The sequence below is a fragment of the Homo sapiens genome, chromosome 14, assembly GCF_000001405.40.
Source record: "Homo sapiens chromosome 14, GRCh38.p14 Primary Assembly".
NCBI lineage: Eukaryota > Metazoa > Chordata > Mammalia > Primates > Hominidae > Homo > Homo sapiens.
In genome coordinates this window covers 66,576,983-66,599,734 of record NC_000014.9, presented here as the reverse complement: position 1 = coordinate 66,599,734, position 22,752 = coordinate 66,576,983, and the positions used below count along the sequence as shown (strand labels likewise).

The 22,752-nt window shown below is 38.0% G+C and overlaps 1 protein-coding gene across 20 annotated transcripts in view, besides 1 other annotated feature; it reads right to left on the bottom strand.

The window, feature by feature from the left end:
* The window catches only part of GPHN (gephyrin), a 1,227,209-nt gene that overhangs the window by 1,135,621 nt on the left and 68,836 nt on the right, over window positions 1-22,752 (bottom strand). The gene's annotated exons all lie outside the window — the stretch shown is intronic.
* Window positions 6,537-6,706: an enhancer, noted in NCBI's record as "experimental_35661 CRE fragment used in MPRA reporter constructs". NCBI's record gives its function as "activates a minimal promoter by MPRAs in K562 erythroleukemia cells, with activity observed for the introgressed 14:67059832 variant allele {active_cell/tissue: K562}" and the evidence as "EXISTENCE:reporter gene assay evidence [ECO:0000049][PMID:34662402]".

Below are 22,752 nucleotides of genomic sequence, written 5' to 3'. Positions count from 1 at the left end.
GTCCACTATCTCTTCTATTATTTAATATCTTAAACAACACAAGTAAAGAAAACATTAGAGGCCAAAAATGGAAGAAAAAGAAGGAAAGTAATCTTTATTTGCAAGCAATATAATTTTTATATCAGGAAGGCAAAAACAAAAACAACCAATAAAAACCCTAAAATAATTCACAAGAGAATTATAAGCAATATGTAAAATAAATAAGAAGCAGACAACTTAATGTTTTCTCCTTCTCCTCCCACCATCCAAAAAAACCTGCTTAGTTAAAATAATCGAGAAGACTGTATAACGAAAAGTAAAATAAAATACCTAGGCCTGCATCTAGCAAAAAAAAAAAAAAAATGCAAAAAAAAATGTAAAATCAGAGAACAGAGGTAAAAGGATAATAAAAGAAAAAGATATACAAAAAGGGTAAGACCAAAGTGGTAAATAAAATCCCTCAAAATCTTTATCTTAAATTGGAATGAGGATAAATTTGGGATTCATGTTTTTCTCTCCAAAAATGCGTGTTTCCTACTCTACCCATGGAAAAAACTTAAAAACAATAAAACAGTAGTAATGAACACTCCTACCAGATTATGCTCCGTTATTAATACTATTTTTTAATAAAAAGTTTCTTTCAAGTATGGAAAAAAATGCATAAAATTTGTCTAGGATATGTTATTACTGAAAGTAAAAAAAATTACCGAGGATACGTTACTACTGAAAGTAATTATCAAAGATCCATGACTCAAAAGCTTCTTATGCACAACGTATAAAAAAATTGTACTAACGGCCTTCCCTCCCAAACTACGGCCTTCCCTCCCAAACTATCCCAGTGTTTAGCTAAAGACTGCATCAACTGCAAGGCTGAATGAAATGGCTACTGAATTTCTTTCCTTTTTTTTTTTTTTTTTGAGACAGAGTCTCACTCTGTAGCCCAGGCTGGAGTGCAGTGGCGCTGATCTCAGCTCACTGCAACCTCCGTGGTCAAGCGATTCTCCTGCCTCAGCCACCTGAGTAGCTGGGATTACACGCATGCGCCACCACGCCCAGCTAATTTTTGTATTTTTAGTAGAGATGGGGTTTCACCATGTTGGTCAGGCTGGTCTTGAACTCCTGACCTCGTGATCTGCCCATGTTGGCCTCCCAAAGTGCTGGGATTGCAGGCATGAGCCACCGCACCCAGCCTCTTTCCACCTCTTTATTTTGCTTTTCAGTTTTTAGGGACAGAAGTGGAGGTGAAAGCAAGTGCATCTTTTGGCTAAGAATACACATCTGAAGTAAGACCACTGGATTCACTAAATATAAAACTATGGGCAAATTAACTAATGCCTTTCTCAGAGTCTCAGTACTTTTTTTTAACTGATTATATATATTTATAATATAAAACATGATGCTTTGATACCTGTAGAATGGCTAAATCAAGCTATTTAACATATACATTACCTTACATACTTATCATTTCTTCTGGTACGAACACTTAAAATCTACTGTCTTAGCAATTTTCAAATATACAACATATTGTTATTAACTGCAGTCACCATGATTTACAAGTCTTTGAATTTATTCCTCCACTTTAAATAAATTTTTCTGTCTTTTAACCAACATCTCCCTAATTCCTCCCACACCCTAGCCTCTGATAATCAACATTTCACTGTTTCTATGAGGTCAACATTTTTACACTACACTTATAATAAGTAAGATCATGAGTATGTCTTTCTGTGCCTGACTTATTTCACTTAACATAATGTCCTACAGGTTGATCCATGATGTTGAGAATGACAGGATTTCCTTCTTTTGTTAAGGGTGAATGATATTTCACTGTGTATATATAACATGTTTTCTTCATCCATTCACCCATTAATGGACACTTAGATTGATTCCACATCTTGGCTATTGGAAATAACGCCACAATGAACATGGAAGTGATGGTAGTAGTGGGGCATCTGGAGTGGCCACTGCCATGATGCCAGCTGCAGTGTGGGAGGTAAGGCTGGAGCTTGTGGACTCCACAAAGCTGCAAGAGCCAGGAACAGGTGGAAGCCCTGCCCACTTCCAAGTTGAAGGGGCAGGAGCCCTACCCTCCTGGGTGCAGCTGCAGCCACCCAGCCACAGCTGCAGACCCAGGCATTTCTGCACTCTCAAGGGCCTAGGAAGACACTCCTGCAGTCTCGCAAGAGTCTGCTCCTGCTGCCTGGCCTCTCCCCACTCCTGGCACCCACTCTAATTTTGGAGCAACGTTGTGGCCAAGCCTGGGCACTGTCATGACATAGCTGGGTATGTGCACGCTTGGGGCAGTGCTGATACGCCAGCTCCATGCTGCCTCAGCCCCCTCCGGACTTTGTTTTTAAGTTTTGGTCTGCATTTTAGACTAACCCAGCTTGCTCTTGTGAACCAACCAGTGATTTCTGACTACGGCTCAGAAGAGACAAAAGGGATGCGTAATATAAAAAATCTGGATCAATATTCTAATTTTGAGCATGTGAGTAGCCTCAGGGTTTTTGAGCTGTCCTTACCCCTTTGTTTTGTTTTGATCCATGTCTTCCAATAACCCGGTTTGTCTCTTCTCGCCTTCGGGCCATCAAACTCCAAATGGTCATGCAAATGGAAACTTGGCTGATGGCTCCCTTTTACTTTTACTAGGGACCCTTAGATAGGGCCTCTAAGAAGACATAACTGCCATTTTCCCCATAAACAATGCCCCCTGTCAGCATGAAGCAGTTAAGAGCAGTCATTGTCCCTATCCTAATGGCAGCAGATGTACCTCTTCAGAGCAGGGACTGAAGGCAGCGGCAGCCTGTCTGGAATGGTGTCAATCAATCCCTGGCATCATCAATGACACCAGATGCAGTGGGGGAGGCACAGCTGGGGCTGTGCACTCCACGGAGCCAGCAGGAACCAAGAACAGGTGGAAGCTCCCAGCCCATTCCAAGTTAAACAGGTGGGAGCCCCGCCCCCCGGGCGCAGTTGTAGCCGTCAAGCTGTGGCTGCAAACCCGGGCATCTCTACACTCTTGGGGACCCAGGAAGCCCTGCTGACCCACAAGCTTGTAAGTGACTGCTCCTGCTGCCTAGCCTCTCCCCACTCCAAGCACCCACTACAAACACCCGCTCCAATTTTGAAGCAAAGTTGTGGCCAAGCCTGGGCACTGTCATGAATCAGCCAGGTGTGCACACATTCAGGGCAGCTATGACACACCAGCCCCCTCATGCCTTGGCCCCCTCCAGACTTTGGGTACCAAAGAGGATGGGAGAAAGGCTGACAGGGGGCTAAGAGTGGCTTGATGCAGGCCTGCAGGCAACATTCAGCACAAACAGCCTGGGCACCATGGGCACCGTGGATGGCAGGTTAATGGCAGCAGGAGGCAGACAGGCCTAGATGGAAAGGGGCAGGTACCTGGTGAAACCTCATCTTCAGGTCAGAGACAGCCTGAGGTTTGGGGACTGGACTGCCAGTGCCATGGACTGGAGGGAGAACTTCTGGTGCTTTTTCTGGGCCTGCCCATGGCTTTCCATGGACCAATCAGCATGCACTTCCTCCCCTCTGAAGCCCATAGAAACCCTGGACTCAGCCAAACTCAAGCAGATGACAGGACAATCTGCCAGCAGAAAAGAGCCACCCACTGAGGGTCTCCTCTCTGCTGAGAGCTGAGCAGATGATGGGACAACCTGCCTGTGGAGAGAAGCTACCCACTATGGGTCTCCTCTCTGCTGAGAGCTGAACACTTGTCAGGATGCCCTGCCTGCAGAGAGGAGCTACCCACTGTGGGTCTCCTTTAAGCTGTTCTGTCACTCAATAAAGGATCTCTTCACCTTGTTCACCCTCCACTTGTCCACATAACTCATTCTTCCTGGACACAGGACAAGAACTCAGGACCTGCGGAACGGCACGACTGAAAGAGCAGTAACACAAACAGGGCTGAAACACGCCCCTTGCTTGCCACGTTGCAGGTGACAAGAAGGAGAGAAGAGCTGTAGCACTTCAGGGAGCCCAGACTTAAGAGCTCCCCAAGCCAGAGCTGTGACACCCTCAATGGGGCTCTGCAGTTCCTGAAGTCTCCAAGCTTCCAGGCACCACTGCCTACCCCAGTGGCAGCCATGGAAGCTGCTTGCAGTAAGCCTCATTGAGCCACAGCCTTGCAGGGTGCCGGCACCTGGAGCTGTCCACCACACCACAACTAGTGTGCCTGGCTGTGTGCAGTGGCCAGATCACACGCTAACTCACACACCCCTCACCACTCCGTACCTGGCTCACCCTTGGCAGGCTGTTAGTGCGAGCAGAGTGTATCCTGCCAGGCAGAGTAGGCAGAACAAGCCAAGCAGGCCCAAGCAAAATTCAGACAAAGGCAATACCAGCCACAGAGGTTCCCAGCTAGAAAAGTAACACTCCAAGGATGCCGTGACAGAAATACAGGCATCTCTTTGAGATACTGATATGATTTCCTTTGGACATACACTAAATAGTAAAATTGTTGGATGACATGATAGTTCTACTTCTTATTTTTGAGATACCTCCATACTGTTTACAATTATGGCTGTAATACTAATTTACAACCCAACCAACAGTCTTCAAGGGTTCTCTTTTCTCCATAACCTTGCTAATACTTACCTTCGGTCTTTTTTAAAGTAGCCACTCTAACAGCTATAAGACAGTATCTCATTAGAGTTATAATTTGCATTTTCCTGATGATCAGTAATGTTCATCACTTTTTCATAAACCTGTTGGCCAATTATATGTCTTATTTTCAAAAATGTTTATATAGGTCCTTTGCATGTTTTTATATCAGATTGTTTTCTTACTTTCAAGTTCCTCATATATTCTGGATATTAATTCCTTATCAGACATATGGTCTCACATACTTTCTCCTTTTCCACAGGTTTTCTCTTCATTCTGTTTCCTTTGCTGTGCAGAAGCTTTTTAGTTTGATGTCATCCTATTTGTCTATTTGTACTTTTGTCGTCTGTGCTTTGGGGGTTATATCCAAAGTACGTGTGATCATACCAATGACAGAGAGCTTTTCTCCTATGATTTATTTACTACTTTCACAGTTTTAGGTCTTACATTTAAGCATTTAATCCATTTTGAGATGATTTATATATATATGATGTGAGATGGGAGTCTAATATTATTCTTCTGCAAGTGAACACCCAGTTTCCCTACGACCATTTATTGATGAGACTGCCCTTCCCCCATTGTGTGATCTTGGCGTTTTTATCAACAATCAATTGGCGATAAATGTGTGGATTTTTTTCTGGCTTTTCCATTCTATCCTGTAAGTCTGTGTGTCTGCTTTTATGCCAGCACCATGCTGTTTTGATTAACACAGCTTTGTAGTAGATTTTCAAAGCACGCACTATGAGGCCTCCAGTTTTATCCTTTTTACTCAACATTGCTCTAGCTATTTTGAAGTGTTTGTGATGTCATACAAATTTTAGGATTTTTTTTTTCTATTTCTGGGGAATATGTCATTGGAGTTTTTGACGGGGGTTGCATGGAATCTGTAGATAACTTTGGGAAGTAGAGACACTTTAACAATGTTCATCCTTTCAATTCATGAACATGGGATATCTTTCCTTTTATTTTATCTCCCTAAATTTCTTTCATAAATGGTTTATAGTTTTCTGCTTACAGAGTTTTTACCTCTTTGGGTAAATTTATACCTAATTTATTTTTGAAACTACTGTAAATAGGATTGTGTTCTCAATTTCCTTTTGAGGCAATTTGATGTTACTGTATAGAAATGCTACTAAAAATTGTATGTTGATTTTGTAATCTACAACTTTATGGAATTTATTAATCAATTTTAACAGGTTTTTGGTGGAGTCTTTAAGCTTTTCTATATATAAGGTTATGTTATCTATAAGGAAAGACAATTTTACTTCTTCCTTTCCAATTTGAATCCTTTTTATTTCTTTGACTTGCCTAACTGTTCTGGTTAGTACTTTCAGTACTGTGTTGAACAAAAGTGAGGGTGAGTACCCATGTCTTGTTCCTCATCTTAGGAAAAAGGCCTTCAACTTTTCAGTGCTGAGCATAATACTCACTATGGGCTTGTGGTATATTGTCTTTATTATGTTTAGAGGTAAATCTTTGATATGATTTGGCTTTGTGTCCCCACCCAAATCTCATCTCAAATTGTAATCCCTGTAATCCCTGGGTGTTGAGAAAGAGACCTGGTGGGAGGTGACTGGATCTTGGGCATGGATTCCCCTATGCTGTTCTCATGATAGTGAGTTCTCATAAGATCTTATGGTTTTATAAGGGGCTCTTCCCCCTTTGCTTCCATTACATGCTCTCTTGCCTGATGCCATGTAAGACATGCCTGCTTCCCCTTCTGCCATAATTGTAAGTTTCCTGAGGGCTCCACAAGCATGCAGAACTGTGAGTCAACTAAACCTCTTTTATTGATAAATTGCCCAGTATCGGACAGTTGTTTGTTTTTTTTTTTTTTTAAATACTTTAAGTTCTGGGATACATGTGCAAAACGTGCAGGTTTGTTACATAGGTATACATACACATGCTATGGTGGTTTGCTGCACCCATCAACCTGTCATCTACATTAGGTATTTCTCCTAATGCTATCCTTTCCCTAGCCCACAACCCCCAGACAGGCCCCAGTGTGTGATATTCCACGCCCTGTGTCCATGTGCTCTCATTGTTTGACTCCCATTTATGAGTGAGAACATGCAGTGTTTGGTTTTCTCTTTCTGTGTTAGTTATCTGAGAATGATAGTTTCCAGCTTCATCCACGTCCCTGCAAAGGACATGAACTCATCGTTTTTATGGCTCCATAGTATTCCATGATGTACATGTGCCAAATTTGATTTATCCAGTCTTTCACTGATGGACACTTGGGTTGGTTCTAAGTCTTTGCTATTGTGAATATTGCTGCAATAAACGTATGTGTGCATGTGTCCTTATAGTAGAATGATTTATAATCCTTTGGGTATATACCCAGTAATGGGACTGCTGGGTCAAGTGGTATTTCTGGTTCTAGATCCTTGAGGAATCACCAGTGTCTTCCACAATGGTTGAACTAATTCACACTCTGACCAACAGTGTAAAAGTGGTCCTATTGTTCCACATCCACTCCAGCATCTGTAGTTTCCTGACATTTTAATGATAGCCATTTTAACTGGCATGAGATGGTATCACATTGTGGTTTTGATTTGCATTTCTCTAGTGACGAAAGATGATGAGCTTTTTTCATATGTTTTTTGGCCACACAAATGTCTTCTTCTGGGAAATATCTGTTCTATCCTTCGCCCACTTCTTGACGGGGTTTTTTTTTTTTTCTTGTATATTTGTTTAAGTTTCTTCTAGATTCTGGATATTGGCCCTTTGTCAGATGGATGGATTGCAAAAATTTTCTCCCATTCTGTAGTCTGCCTGTTCACTGTGATGATAGTTTCTTTTGCTGTGCAGAAGCTCTTTACTTTAATTAGATCCCATTTATCAATTTTGGCTTTTGCTGCCATTGCTTTTGGTGTTTTAGACATGAAGTCCTTGCCCATGCCTATGTCCTGAATGGTATTGCCTAGGTTTTCTTCTAGAGTTTTTATGGTTTTAGGTCTTACATTTAAGTATTTAATCCATCTTGAGTTAATTTTTGTATGAGGTGTAAGGAAGGAGTCTAGTTTCACTTTTATGCATATGGCTAGCCAGTTTTCCCAACACCATTTATTAAATAGGGAATCGTTTCCCCATTGCTTTTGTCAAGTTTGCCAAAGATAAGATGGCTGTAGATGTGTGGTGATATGTCTAAGGACTCCATTCTGTTCCATTAGCCTATATATCTGTTTTGGTACCAGTAACATGCTGTTTTAGTTACTGTAGCCTTTGTAGTACAGTTTGAATTCAGGTAGCATGATGCCTCCAGCTTTGTTCTTTTTGCTTAGGATTGTCTTGGCTATATAGCCTCTTTTCTGGTTCCATATGAAATTTAAAGTAGTTTTTTCTAATTCTGTGAAGAAAGTTAATGGTAGCTTGATTGGGATAGCACTTAATCTATAAATTACTTTGGGCAGTATGGTCATTTTCACGATATTGATTCTTCTTATCCATGAGCTTGGAATGTTTTTCCATTTCTTTGTGTCCTCTCTTATTTCCTTGAGCAGTGGTTTGTAGTTGTACTTGAAGAGGTCCTTCACATCCCTTGTAAGTTGTATTCTTAGTGTTTTATTCTCTTTGTAGCAATTGTGAATGGGAGTTCACTCAAGATTTCACTCTCTGTTTCTCTATTATTGATGTATAGAAATTCTTGTGATTTTTGCACATTGATTTTGTATCCTGAGAGTTTGCTGAAGTTGCTTATCAGCTTAAGGAGATTTTGGGCTGAGACGATGGGGTTTTCAAAATATACAGTCATGTTATCTGCAAAGAGAGACAATCTGACGTCTTCTATTCCTATTTGAATACCCTTTATTTCTTTCTCTTGCCTGATTGCCCTGGCCAGAACTTCCAATACTATGTTGAATAGGAGTGGTGAGAGAGGGCATCCTTGCCTTGTGCCAGTTTTCAAAGGGAATGCTTCCAGCTTTTGCCCATTCAGTATTATATTGGCTGCGGGTTTGTCATAAATAGCACTTATTATTTTGAGATATGTTTCATCAATACCAAGTTTATTGAGAGTTTTTAGCATGAAGGCTCTTGAATTTTATCGGAGGCCTTTTCTGCATCTATTGAGATAATCATGTGGTTTTCATCGTTGCTTCGGTTTACATAATGGATTGTGTTTATTGATTTGCATAGGTTAAACCAGCCTTGCATCCCAGAGATAAAGCCGACTTGATTATGGTGGATAAGATTTTTGATGTGCTGCTGGATTCGGTTTGCCAGTATTTTATTGAGGATTTTTGCATTGATGTTCATATCAGGGATATTGGCCTGAAATTTTCTTTTTTTGTTGTGTCTCTGCCAAGTTTTGGTATCAGGATGATACTGGTCTCAAAAAATGAGTTAGGGAGGATTCCTTCTCTTTCTCTTGTTTGGAACAGTTTCAGAAGGAATGGTACCAGCTCCTCTTTGTACTTCTGGTAGAATTTGGCTGTGAATCTGTCTGGTCCTGGGTATTTTTTGGTTGGTAGGCTATTAATTACTGCCTCAATTTCAGAACTTGTTATTGGTCTATTCAGGGATTCAACTTCTTCCAGGTTTAGTCTTGGGAGGGTGTATGCGTCCAGGAATTTATCCATTTCTTCTAGATTTTGCAGTTTATTTGAGTAGAGATGTTTATATCATTCTCTGATGGTAGTTTGTATTTCTGTGGGATCAGTGGTGATATCCCCTTTATCATTTTTATAATGTCTGTTTAATTCTTCTCTCTTTTCTTCTTTATTAGTCTGGCTTTCGATCTATTTTGTTAATCTTTTCAAAAAAGCAACTCCTGATTCATTGATTTTTTGAAGGGATTTTTGTGTCTCTAGCTCTCATCTTAGTTATTTCTTGTCTTCTGCTAGCTTTCGAATTTGTTTGCTCTTGCTTCTCTAGTTCTTTTATTGTGATGTTAGGGTGTCGATGTTAGATCTTGCCCGCTTTCTCCTGTGGGCATTTAGTGCTATAAATTTCCCTCTAAACACTGCTTTAGCTGTGTCCCAGAGATTCCTCTATGTTGTGTCTGTTTTCATAGGAATCAAAGAACTTACTGATTTCTGCCTTAATTTTGTTATTTACCCAGTAGTCATTCAGGAGCAGGTTGCTCAGTTTCCACGTAGTTACGCGGTTTTGAGTGAGTTTCTTAGTCCTGAGTTCTAATTTGATTGTACTGTGGTCTGAGAGACTATTATGATTTCCATTCTTTTGCATTTGCTGAAGAGTGTTTTACTTCCACTATGTGGTCAATTTTAGAATAAGTGAAATGTGGTGCTGAGAAGAATGTATATTCTGTTGGTTTCGGGTGGAGAGTTCTGTAGATGTCTATTAGGTCCGCTTGGTCCAGAGCTGAGTTCAAATCCTGAATATCCTTATTAATTTTCTGTCTCATTGAGCTGTCTAATATTGACAGTGGGGTGTTAAAGTCTCCCACTATTATTGTGTGGGAGTCTAAGTCTCTTTGTAGGTCTCTAAGAACTTGCTTTATGAATCTGGGTGCTCCTGTATTGGGTGCATATGTATTTAGGATAGTTAGCTCTTGTTGCATTGATCCCTTTACCATTATGTAATGGTAAAGCCCTTCTTTGTAAAAATGTAAAAAGCCCTTCTTTGTCTTTTTTTTTTATCTTTGTTGGTTTAAAGTCTGTTTTTTCAGAGACTAGGATTGAGATCAGTCTCCTAAATACAGCACATCAATGGGTCCTGACTCTTTATCCAATTTACCAGTCTGTGTATTTTAATTGGGGCATTTAGCCTGTTTACATTTAAGGTTATATAAATATTATGTGTGAATTTGATCCTGTCATTATGATGCTAGCTGGTTATTTTGCCCATTAGCTGATGCGGTTTCTTCATAGTGTCGAAAGACTTTACAATTTGGTATGTTTTTGCAGTGGCTGGTACCGGTTTTTTCTTCCCATATTTAGTGCTTCCATCAGGAGCTCTTGTGAGGAAGGCCTGGTGGTGACAAAATCTCTCAGCATTTGCTTGTCTGTAAAGGATTTTATTTCTCCTTTGCTTATGAAGCTTAATTTGGCTGGATATGCAATTCTGGGTTGAAACTTCTTTTTTTTCAGAAGGTTGAATATTGGCCCCCACTCTCTTCTGGCTTGTAGGATTTCTACTGAGAGATCCACTGTTAGTCTGATGGCCTTCCCTTTGTGGGTAACCTGACCTTTCTCTCTGGCTGCCCTTAACATTTTCTCCTTCATTTCAACCTTGATGAATCTGACGATTATGTGTCTTGGGGTTGCTCTTCTCTAGTAGTATCTTTGTGGTGTTCTCTGTATTCCCTGAATTTGAATGTTGGCCTGTCTTGCTAGGTTGGGAAAGTTCTCCTGGATAATATCCTGAAGAGTGATTTCCAGTGTGGTTCCATTCTCCCTGTCACTTTCAGGTACACCAATCAAACATAGGTTTGGTCTTTTCACATAGTCCCATATTTCTTGGAGGCTTGTTTCCTTTTCATTCTTTTTTCTCTAATCTTGTCTTCACACTTTATTTCATTAAGTTGATCTTCAATCTCTGATATCATTTCTTCCGCTTGATCGATTCGCCTATTGATACTTGTGTATGCTTCACAAAGTTGTTGTGCTGTTTTTCAGCTCCATAAGGTCACTTATGTTCTTCTCTAAACTGGTTACTCTAGTTAGCAATTCATCTAACTTTTTTTCAAGGTTCTTAGCTTCTTGCATTGGGTTAGAACAGCTCTTTTAGCTCAGAGAAGTTTGTTATTACCCACCTTCTGAAGCCTAATTTTGTCAATTCATCAAACTAATTCTCATTCCAGTTTTGTTCCCTTGCTGGCAAGGAGTTGTGATACTTTGGAGGAGAAGAGGCATTCTGGTTTTTGGAATTTTCAGTCTTTTGTGCTGGTTCCTCCTCAACTTCGTGGATTTCTCTATCTTTGTTCTTTGATGTTGGTGACCTTAGGATGGGGTCTCTTGGTGGACATCCTTTTTGTTGATGTTGATGCTATTCCTTTCTGTTCATTAGTTTTCCTTCTAACAGTCAGGCCCCTCTGCTGAAGGTCTGCTCTAGTTTGCTGGAGGTCCACTCCAGACCCTGTTTGCCTAGGTATCACCAGCGGAGGCTGCAGAACAGCAAAGATTGCTACCTGTTCCTTCCTCTGGAAGCTTCGTCCCAGAGGGGCACCTGGCAGATGCCACCCGGAGCTCTCCTGTATGAGGTGTCTGTCAACCCTTGCTGGGAGGTGTCTCCCAGTCAGGAGGCATGAGGGTCAGGGACCCACTTGAGGAGGCAGTCCATCCCTTAGCAGAGCTCGAATGCTGTGCTGGGGGATCTGCTGCTCTCTTCAGAGCTGGCAGGCAGGAACATTTAAGTCTGCCGAAGCTGCACCCAGAGCCGCCCATTCCCCCAGGTGCTCTGTCCTAGGGAGATGGGAGTTTTATCTATAAGCACTGGGGCTGCTCTCCTACAGTTCTTTATAGTAATGTCAGAATGGACTAATATAATCTTCTTTACTTAATATTTTAGATTTTGTCAAATGCCTCTTCTGCATCTATTCAGATAGCCATATTTTTGTCCTTCTTTTTGTTAATGTAGTGTATGACCTCCACTGATTTGCATAAGTTGAACCAAACTTGCATCCCAGAAATAAATCCAACTTGATCATGACAACAGATCCTTATAATGTGTTACTGAATTTAATTTGCTAGTATTTTATTGAGAATATCTGCATCTGTTTATCAGGAATATTGGCTGGTAATTTTTTCTTATAATATACTTGTTTGTCTATGGTATCAGGGTCATACAGGCCTCTTAAAATAGTTTGAAAGATTTATCTACTCCTCAATTTTTTGGAAGAATTTCAGAAGCATTGGTATTACTTCTTCTTTAAATGTTTGTAAAGTTCAGATGTGAAACCATCAAGTCCTGAACTTTTTCACATAAGAGCTATTTTTTATTATTGACTTAATCTCCTTACTTGTTATTATGTAAAGCTTTTCTATTTCTTCATGATTCATTCTTGGTAGTTGTACATTTCCAGGATCTCATCCATGTGTTTTAGGTTATGTAATTTGTTTGTGTATAACTGTTCACAGTAGTCTCTTGTCATCTGTATTTCTGTGGTATCTCCTGTATTGCCTACTCTTTCATTTTTTATTTTATATATTTCAGTCTTCTGTCATTTTTCTTAGTTAAAAGTTTGTCAACTGTTTATCTTCTGAAAAAATCAATTCTGTTTTGTTCATCTTTCCTATTGTTTTACAGTCTCTATTTCACTTATTTCTGTTCTGACCTTTGTTTTTTTCTTTGCTACTATAAACTAGGGATTTATATTGTTGTTTTTTCTAGTCCTTTGAGGTTCAGCATTAGACTGTTTTAGTGGGATCTTTCTTATTTTTGATCTGTGTGTTTATTGCTATAAACTTCTCTTAGAAATGCTTTCGTTGCAGAAACTCTACAAGCCAGAAGAGAGTGGGGGCCAATATTCAATATTCTTAAAGAAAAGAATTTTCAACCCAGAATTTCATATCCAGCCAAACTAAGCTTCATAAGTGAAGGAGAAATAAAATCCTTTACAGATAAGCAAATGCTGAGATATGTTGTCACCACCAAGCCTGCCCTACAAGAGCTCCTGAAGGAAGCACTAAATATGGAAAGGAACAACTGGTACCACCCACTGCAAACACATGCCAAACTGTAAAGACCATCAAGGCTAGGAAGAAACTGCATCAACTAACGAGCAAAATAACCAGCTAACATCATAATGACAGGATCAAATTCACACATAACAATACTAACCTTAAATGTAAATGGGCTAAATGCTCCAATTAAAAGACACAGACTGGTAAACTGGATACAGAGTCAAGACCCATCAGTGTGCTGTATTCAGGAAATCCATCTCACATGCAGACACACATAGGCTCAAAATAAAGGGATGGAGGAAGATCTACCAAACCAATGGAAAACAAAAAAAGGAAGGGGTTGCAATCCTAGTCTCTGATAAAACAGACTTTAAACCAACAAAGAGCAAAAGAGACAAAGAAGGCCATTACATAATGGTAAAGGGATCAATTCAACAAGAAGAGCTAACTACCCTAAATATATATGCACCCAATACAGGAGCACCCAGATTCATAAAGCAAGTTCTTAGTGACCTACAAAGAGACTTAGAATCCCACACAATAATAATGGGAGACTTTAACACCCCACTGTCAACATTAGACAGATCAACGAGACAGAAAGTTAACAAGGATATCCAGGAATTGAACTCAGCTCTGCACCAAGCAGACCTAATAGACATCTACAGAACTCTCCACCCCAAATCAACAGAATATATATTCTTCTCAGCACCACACCACACCTATTCCAAAATTGACCACATAGTTGGAAGTAAAGCACTCCTCAGCAAATGTAAAAGAACAGAAATTATAACAAACTGTCTCTCAGACCACAGTGCAATCAAACTAGAACTCAGGATTAAGAACCTCACTCAAAACTGCTCAACTACATGGAAACTGAACAACCTGCTCCTGAATGACTACTGGGTACATAACGAAATGGAGGCAGAAATAAAGATGTTCTTTGAAACCAACGAGAACAAAGACAAAACATACCAGAATCTCTGGGACACATTTAAAGCAGTGTGTAGAGGGAAATTTATAGCACTAAATGCCCACAAGAGAAAGCAGGAAAGATCTAAAATTGACACCCTAACATCACAATTAAAAGACCTAGAGAAGCAAGAGCAAACACATTCAAACGCTAGCAGAATGCAAGAAATAAATAAGATCAGAGCAGAACTGAAGGAAATAGAGACACAAAAAACGCTTCAAAAAATCAATGAATCCAGGAGCTGGTTTTTTGAAAAGATCAACAAAATTGATAGACCGCTAGCAAGACTAATAAAGAAGAAAAGAGAGAAGAATCAAATAGACGTGACAAAAAATAACAAAGGGGATATCATCACCGATCCCACAGAAATACAAACTACCATCAGAGAATACTATAAACACCTCTACACAAATAAACTAGAAAATCTAGAAGAAATGGATAAATTCCTGGACACATACACCCTCCCAAGACTAAATCAAGAAGAAGTTGAATCTCTGAATAGACCAATAACAGGCTCTGAAACTGAGGCAATAATTAATAGCTTACCAACCAAAAAAAGTCCAGGACCAGATGGATTCACAGCCAAATTCCACCAGAGGTACAAGGAGGAACTGGTACCATTCCTTCTGAAACTATTCCAATCAATAGAAAAAGAGGGAATCCTCCCTACCTCATTTTAAGAGGCCAGCATCATCCTGATACCAAAGCCGGGCAGAGACACAACCAAAAAAGAGAATTTCAGACCAATATCCTTGATGAACATTGATGCAAAAATCCTCAATAAAATACTGGCAAACCGAATCCAGCAGCACATCAAAAAGCTTATCCACCATGATCAAGTGGGCTTCATCCCGGGGATGCAAGGCTGGCTCAACATACGAAAATCAATAAATGTAATCCAGCATATAAACAAAACCAAAGACGAAAACCACATGATCATCTCAATAGATGCAGAAAAGGCCTTCCACAAAATTCAACAACCCTTCATGCTAAAAACTCTCAATAAATTAGATATTGATGGGACATATCTCAAAATAATAAGAGCTATCTATGACAAACCCACAGCCAATATTATACTGAATGGACAGAAACTGGAAGCATTCCCTTTGAAAACTGGCACAAGACAGGGATGCCCTCTCTCACCACTCCTATTCAACATAGTGTTGGAAGTTCTGGCCAGAACAATCAGGCAGGAGAAGGAAATAAAGGGTATTCAATTAGGAAAAGAGGAAGTCAAATTGTCCCTGTTTGCAGATGACAAGATTGTATAACTAGAAAACCCCATCGTCTCAGCCCAAAATCTCCTTAAGCTGATAAGCAACTTCAGCAAAGTCTCAGGATACAAACTCAATGTGCAAAAAATCACAAGCATTCTTATACACCAATAACAGACAAACAGAGAGCCAAATCATGAGTGAACTCCCATTCACAATTGCTACAAAGAGAATAAAATACCTAGGAATCCAACTTACAAGGGATGTGAAGGACCTCTTCAAGGAGAACTACAAACCACTGCTCAATGAAATAAAAGAGGTTACAAACAAATGGAAGAACATTCCATGCTCATGGGTAGGAAGAATCAGTATCGTGAAAATGGCCATACTGCCCAAGGTAATTTATAGATTCAATGCCATCCCCATCAAGCTACCAATGACTTTCTTCACAGAATTGGAAAAAACTACTTTAAAGTTCATATGGAACCAAAAAAGAGCCCGCATTGCCAAGTCAATCCTAAGCCAAAAGAACAAAGCTGGAGGCATCACGCTACCTGACTTCAAACTATACTACAAGGACACAGTAACCAAAACAGCATGGTACTGGTACCAAAACAGAGATATAGACCACTGGAACAGAACACAGCCCTCAGAAATAATGCCGCATATCTACAACTATCTGATCTTTGACAAACCTGACAAAAACAAGCAATGGGGAAAGGATTCCCTATTTAATAAATGCTGCTGGGAAAACTGGCTAGCCATATGGAGAAAGCTGAAACTGGATCCCTTCCTTACACCTTATACAAAAATTAATTCAAGATGGATTAAAGACTTACATGTTAGACCTAAAACCGTAAAAACCCTAGAAAAAAACCTAGGCATTACCATTCAGGACACAGACATGGGCAAGGACTTCATGTCTAAAACACCAAAAGCAATGGCAACAAAAGCCAAAATTGACAAATGGGATCTAATTAAACTAAAGAGCTTCTGCACAGCAAAAGAAACTACCATCAGAGTGAACAGGCAACCTACAGATTGGGAGAAAATTTTTGCAACCTGCTTATCTGACAAAGGGTTAATATCCAGAATCTTCAATGAACTCAAACAAATTTACAAGAAAAAAACAAACAACCACATCAAAAAGTGGGCAAAGAATATGAACAGACACTTCTCAAAAGAAGACATTTATGCAGCCAAAAAACACATGAAAAAATGCTCATCATCACTGGCCATCAGAGAAATGCAAATCAAAACCACAATGAGATACCATCTCACACCAGTTAGAATGGCAATCATTAAAAAGTCAGGAAACAACAGGTGCTGGAGAGGATGTGGAGAAATAGGAACACTTTTACACTGTTGGTGGGATTGTAAACTAGTTCCACCATTGTGGAAGTCAGTGTGGCGATTCCTCAGGGATTTAGAACTAGAAATACCATTTGACCCAGCCATCCCGTTACTGGGTATATACCCAAAGGATTATAAATCATGCTGCTATAAAGACACATGCACATGTATGTTTATTGCGGCACTATTCACAATAGCAAAGACTTGGAACCAACCCAAATATCCAACAATGATAGACTGGATTAAGAAAATGTGGCACATATACACCATGGAATACCATGCTGCCATAAAAAATGATGAGTTCATGTCCTTTGTAGGGACATGGATGAAGCTGGAAACCATCATTCTCAGCAAACTATCGCAAGGACAAAAAACCAAACACTGCATGTTCTCACTCATAGGTGGGAATTGAACAATGAGAACACATAGACACAGGAAGGGGAACATCACACACTGGGGACTGTTGTGGGGTGGGGGGAGAGGGGAGGGATAGCATTAGGAGATATACCTAATGCTAAATGATGAGTTAATGGGTGCAGCACACCAACATGGCACATGTATACATATGTCACAAACCTGCACATTGTGCACATGTACCCTAAAACTTAAAGTAAAATAAAATAAAATAAAATAAAATGCTTTTGTTGCATCCCATAATTTTTGTTATGTAGTATTTTCATTTGTCTCAAGATATTTTTAATTTCCCTTTAATTTCCCATTTCAGTTTTACTCTTGGTTGTTTAGGGCCAAGTAAGTTTGTGCAAATTTATAAATGTTGCAATATTCCTTCTGTTATGAATTCTATTTTCATACCATTGTGACTGGAGATGATATTTGGCATAATTTCAATCTTCTTAAATTTGTTGAGATTTATTTTCTGGTCTGACTTACGATCTATCCTGGGGAAGTTTCCAAAATGCTCGAGAAAAATGTGGATTCTGCTACTGTTGGATAGAAGGCTGAAATGCTCTATATACGTCTGTTACATTTGGTCTAAGATGTAGTTCAAGTTCTATATCATTTTTTGTCTGGATGATCTGTTCATTATTTAAAGAGGCATACTAAAGTCTACTACACTATATTGCAGTCTATCTCATTCTTCAGATTTATTAACATTTACTTTATATATTTAGGTACTCTGATGTTGGGTGCAGATATATTTACAATTGTTATATCTTCTTCATAAATTGACCCCTTTACATTATATGACCTTTTCTGTGTCTCTTTTTATAATTTTTATTTAAATTCTATTTCATCTGATATAAGTATAGCTACTCCTGCTTTCTTTTGGTTTCCATCAGCATGGATTATCTACTTCTATCCTGTCACATTCAATCTGTATGTGCCCTTAAAGGTGAGAGTGATTCTCTTATAGGCAGAACATACTTGGGTCTTATTTTCTGATTGATTCAGTCACTATCTTTTCTTTGAAGAATTTAATCTATTAATATTCAAGGTAATTATTTATAGGTAAGGATTTACTATTGCTATATTGTTCATTGTTTTCCGGTTGTTTTGTAATTCTTTCTTCCTTTCTTGCTGTCTTCCTTTATGGTTAGAGGATTTTCTCTAGTGCTATGCTCTGATTCCCACTTTTTATCTTAAGTGTATCTAGCATAGTTTTTCGTTATAGTGATCAAGAGGTTTACATGAAACATCTTACAGTTAGACTATTTTAAGCTGATAACTTTGGTTTGATTGCATAAAGTAACTCTACACTGTTATTCCATCACCCAATAATATTTTATGATTTCATGTAGTAATTTACATCTTTTTTTTTTTTTTACATCTTCACCTTCCTACTGTTGAGTATGACGTTAATTTTGGGCCTATCATATATGACCTTTATTGTGTTCAGGTACATTCCCTCTATACCTAACTTGCTGCGGGTTTTTATCATAAAAAATGTTAAAGTTTCTCTAATGCTTTTTCTGCATTTATTGAGATAATCACATGGTTTTTGTAATTTATTCTATTAATGTATGACATTTATCAACTTGTAAATGTTGAACCACAGACATAAATGCATCCCAGGAATAAATCCTGCTTGATCATGGTGTATGATGTTTTTCATGTATTGGTTTGCTAGTATTTCATTGAGAATTTCTGCATCTATCTTCATCAACAATATTGGCCTGCATTTTTTTTTCTTGTAGTGTCTTTGACTTCGGTATCATGGTAATGATGGCCTCTTAAAATGAGTTTGAAGTTTTCTCTCATCAATTTTCAATTTTTTGAGAGAGCTTGAGAAACACTGGTGTTTATTCTTTAAATATTTGGTAGAATTCACCAGTAAAGGCATCAGGTCCTGGGTTGTTTTTTGGGCAGTCTATGACTGCTGATTCAACTTCCTTAATTAGTAGTTTATACAGATTTTCAACTTCTTCATGATTCAGTCTTGATAAGATGTATGTTTCCAGGAATTTAGGTTATCTAATTTGTTGGCATATGATTGCTCATAGTTGTCTCTTATGATCCTTCATATTCCAGTGATATAAGATGTAATGTCTCCTCTTTCATTTCTGATTTTCTTTAACTCTTCACTATTTTTTCAGTCTAGCTAAAGGTTTGTCAATTTTATCTTTTAAAAAAACAACTCTTAGCTTTGTTGATCTCTTCTATTGCTTTTATAATTTCTACTTCATTTATTTCTGCTCTGATTTTTAATATTTCATTCATTCAACTAACTATGGGCTTAGTGTGTTATTTTTCTAGTTCCTTGAAGTGTAACACTAGATTGAGATTTTTCTTCTTTTATGTGTAGGCATCTGTTGCTATAAACTTCTCTCTTATGATTTGCTGCATCCTATACAAATTGATATGTTGAGTGTCCACTTTCATTAGTGTCAAGGTATTGTTTTATTGTCCTTTAAATTTCTTCTTTGACCCACTGATTATTGAGAAGCATGTTGTTTAATTTCCATATATTTGCAATTTTTTGAAATTCTTCCTATTAATGATTTATAATTTCATACCACTGTGGTTAAAAAAGATACTTGATATCACTTAAATCCTCTTAAATGTGTTACGATTTGTTTTCTAGACTAACGTGGTATACCCTGGAGAATGTTTAGCATATGCTTAAGAAGGATGTGTGTTCCAATGTTGTTGGATGAACTATTCTGATATACGTTTGTTAGGTACAGTTGCTTTACTGTGTGATTGAAGTCCACATATCAAATTATAAATCAAATTCCATATTGATTTTCTAAGTCGATGATGTGTTTATTGATGAATGTGAAATATTGAAGTCCTATACTATTATTGTCTTGCAGTCTTGTCTCTCCCTTCAGATCTATTAATATTTGCTTTATGTATTTAGGTGTTCTGATATTGGGTGCATATCTGTTTACAATTGCTGTATCTTCTTGATTAACCAACACTTTTATCATTATATAATAATCTTCTGTGCCTCTTCTCACAATTTTTTATTTAATGTCTATTTCATCTAAGTATAACAACCTCTGCTCTCTTTTCGTTTCCATTTTCATAGACTATCTTTTCCCATTTCTTCACTTTCAGTCTATTTGTGTCCTTAAAGATGAAATGAGTCTCTTATTAACAGCATATAGTTTGGACTTTTTTTTTTTTAATCCATTCAGCTGCTCTGTATCTTTTGATGGGAGAATTTAATCCATTGACATTTAAACTACTTGTTTGATAGATAAAGACATACAACTGCCATTTTGTTCATTGTTTTCTGGTAGCTTTGCAGATTTTTTGTTCCTTTCTTCCACTCTACCTGTCTTCCTTTGTAATTTAATGATTCTCTGTTGTGGTATGCTTTGATTTCTTACTTATCTCCTATGTATCTACTGTAGCTCTTTCTTTTGTGGTTACCATGAGGCTTACATAAAACATATTACGGTTGTAACAGGCTATTTTTAAGCTGATAACTTCAATAACACACAAGAATTCTACAATTTTATTACCCACCAACATATTGTTACTGATGTCAAAATTTACATTTTATATATTGTATATCACTTAATTATTGTAAATATACCTATTTTAACTACTTTATATTTAACCTTCTTACTAAAGATATAATTGATTTACACACCACCATTGTAGCTTTACATACAGCATTCTGAATCTGACTACATACTTACTTTCACCAGTGAATTTTTTACATTTATATGTTTTCATATTACCAATTACCATCCTTTTCTTTCAGCTTAAAGAATTCCCTTTTGCATTTCTTATAAGGCAAGTCTAGTGAACTTCCTCAGTTCTTATTTGTCTGGGAAAGTCCTTATCTCTCCTTCATTTCTGAGGGACAACTTTATGGTTCCTGGTGTTTTTTTTTTTCTTTCTTTGAGCAAGAAATTTTTGTTTGCTTTTTTTTTTTTTTTTTTTCACTCTATCCCTGACCTGCAGGGTTTCTGTTGAAAAATCTAATGATAGCCATAATGGAGTTCTCTCGTATGAGATTTGCTTCTTTTCTCTTGCTGCTTTCAGGATCCTCTCTTTGTCTTAACGCTTCTGAGAGTTTTACTAAGTCTTATTGTAGCATTGTTTCAGCTGAACATAACTGGAGACCTTTGAGCTTCCTATGTGTGGACATTTATATCTGTCCCTAGTTTATGAATGTTTTCTGTCATTATTTCTTTAAATACATTCACTACTCCTTTCTCTCTCTGTGTTCCTTCTGGAACTCCTATAATGCAAAGATTGGTTTGCTTCACTGCCCCATAATTCTCACAGACTTTCTCACTCTTAAATTCTTTTTTCATTTTGTTCTTCTGACTGGGTAATTTCTAATAACCAGTCTGTGAGCTTACTGATCCTTTCTTCTGCTTGATCAAATCTTATGTTGAAGCTCTCTATAGATATCTTCGGTTCAGCCATATTTATAAATTTTTGTTTAAAAACTGAGTTGATTAAAAATGGCTAACATTGGAAAACTGGTATGCAATTTACAATCTTCCAAAATTAATCATAACTTCCTTCTCTTGTTCAGATTGTTAATTTTCATAAATCACAACAAAATAATAATTTGAGGAGAAATGAGTCAGAGATTCACTCTTCCTTTATTCCTTATCAAATGCAATGTCTTAAAAATATTTACATTTACTACTTTCAGTCCTCTGTCTAAAATAGGATTCCTGTCCAAGTGTCTTGGTTCCAGATATGATACTGGGAAATAGAAGAGTACAGAGGCATTATATATAACCTTGACTGGGAGAGACATTGTAGGCCATATGGTAAAATTTAGTCACAATTCTGTCCATAGTGAAATCTCATTCGTCCTCTCCTCATGCAAAATTCCTTTAGTTCTTTCCTTTGCTTTATTTAGTAATCAAATTGAAAAATCAGTCTCTAAAACACCTTTAGAAGAGACTTATCAGAACAGTAAAGATCAGGATTCCTAAAATTCTGACAGCAGATTGCATATGTATTCATTTTCCTTTAATGTAGGTGTACAGATATCACTGAGACTTTGGTTGACAAATCTTGCCATAATTTAATAATGTCTTCAGTTACTTGAAGAAGGAATAATTGTAACATAGCACATTCCAGGGATTTCAGCTTCACTGTATAGATTTATCTAGGAACTTACATAATATATGTAAATAACTGAAACTTAAGAAGCACTGGTGTGTGGTAGAAAGCACACAAAAACTATAGAATGAGTTGAATTTCTTATGGTTCTGTTAGCTATCATGACCTTATCCCAAGACCCTTGGATTCTCTAAGTTTTAGTGTCCTCACCCTGAAATCACTGTATGCCCAAGAATTACCAACTTTGTACAGTTCCTTCCACCTTTAAAATTTTGTGATAACCTACACTATTTCAAGTCCCATGCCACTTTTAAGTGTGGTCTATAGACTAGTAAGAGCAGCATCTGGGAGTTAGTTAGAAATGCAGAATCTCAGGTCCCACCTTTAGACCTACTAAATCAGAATCGTCAGTCAACAAGATTCCTAGGCAATTAAACTGAAATGAAAATTACAGATGCGCTGCTATAGACTATTTTTTTCAGTTATAACATCAATGTCCAACTGCTTATCAAAAGGAAAGTAAAAG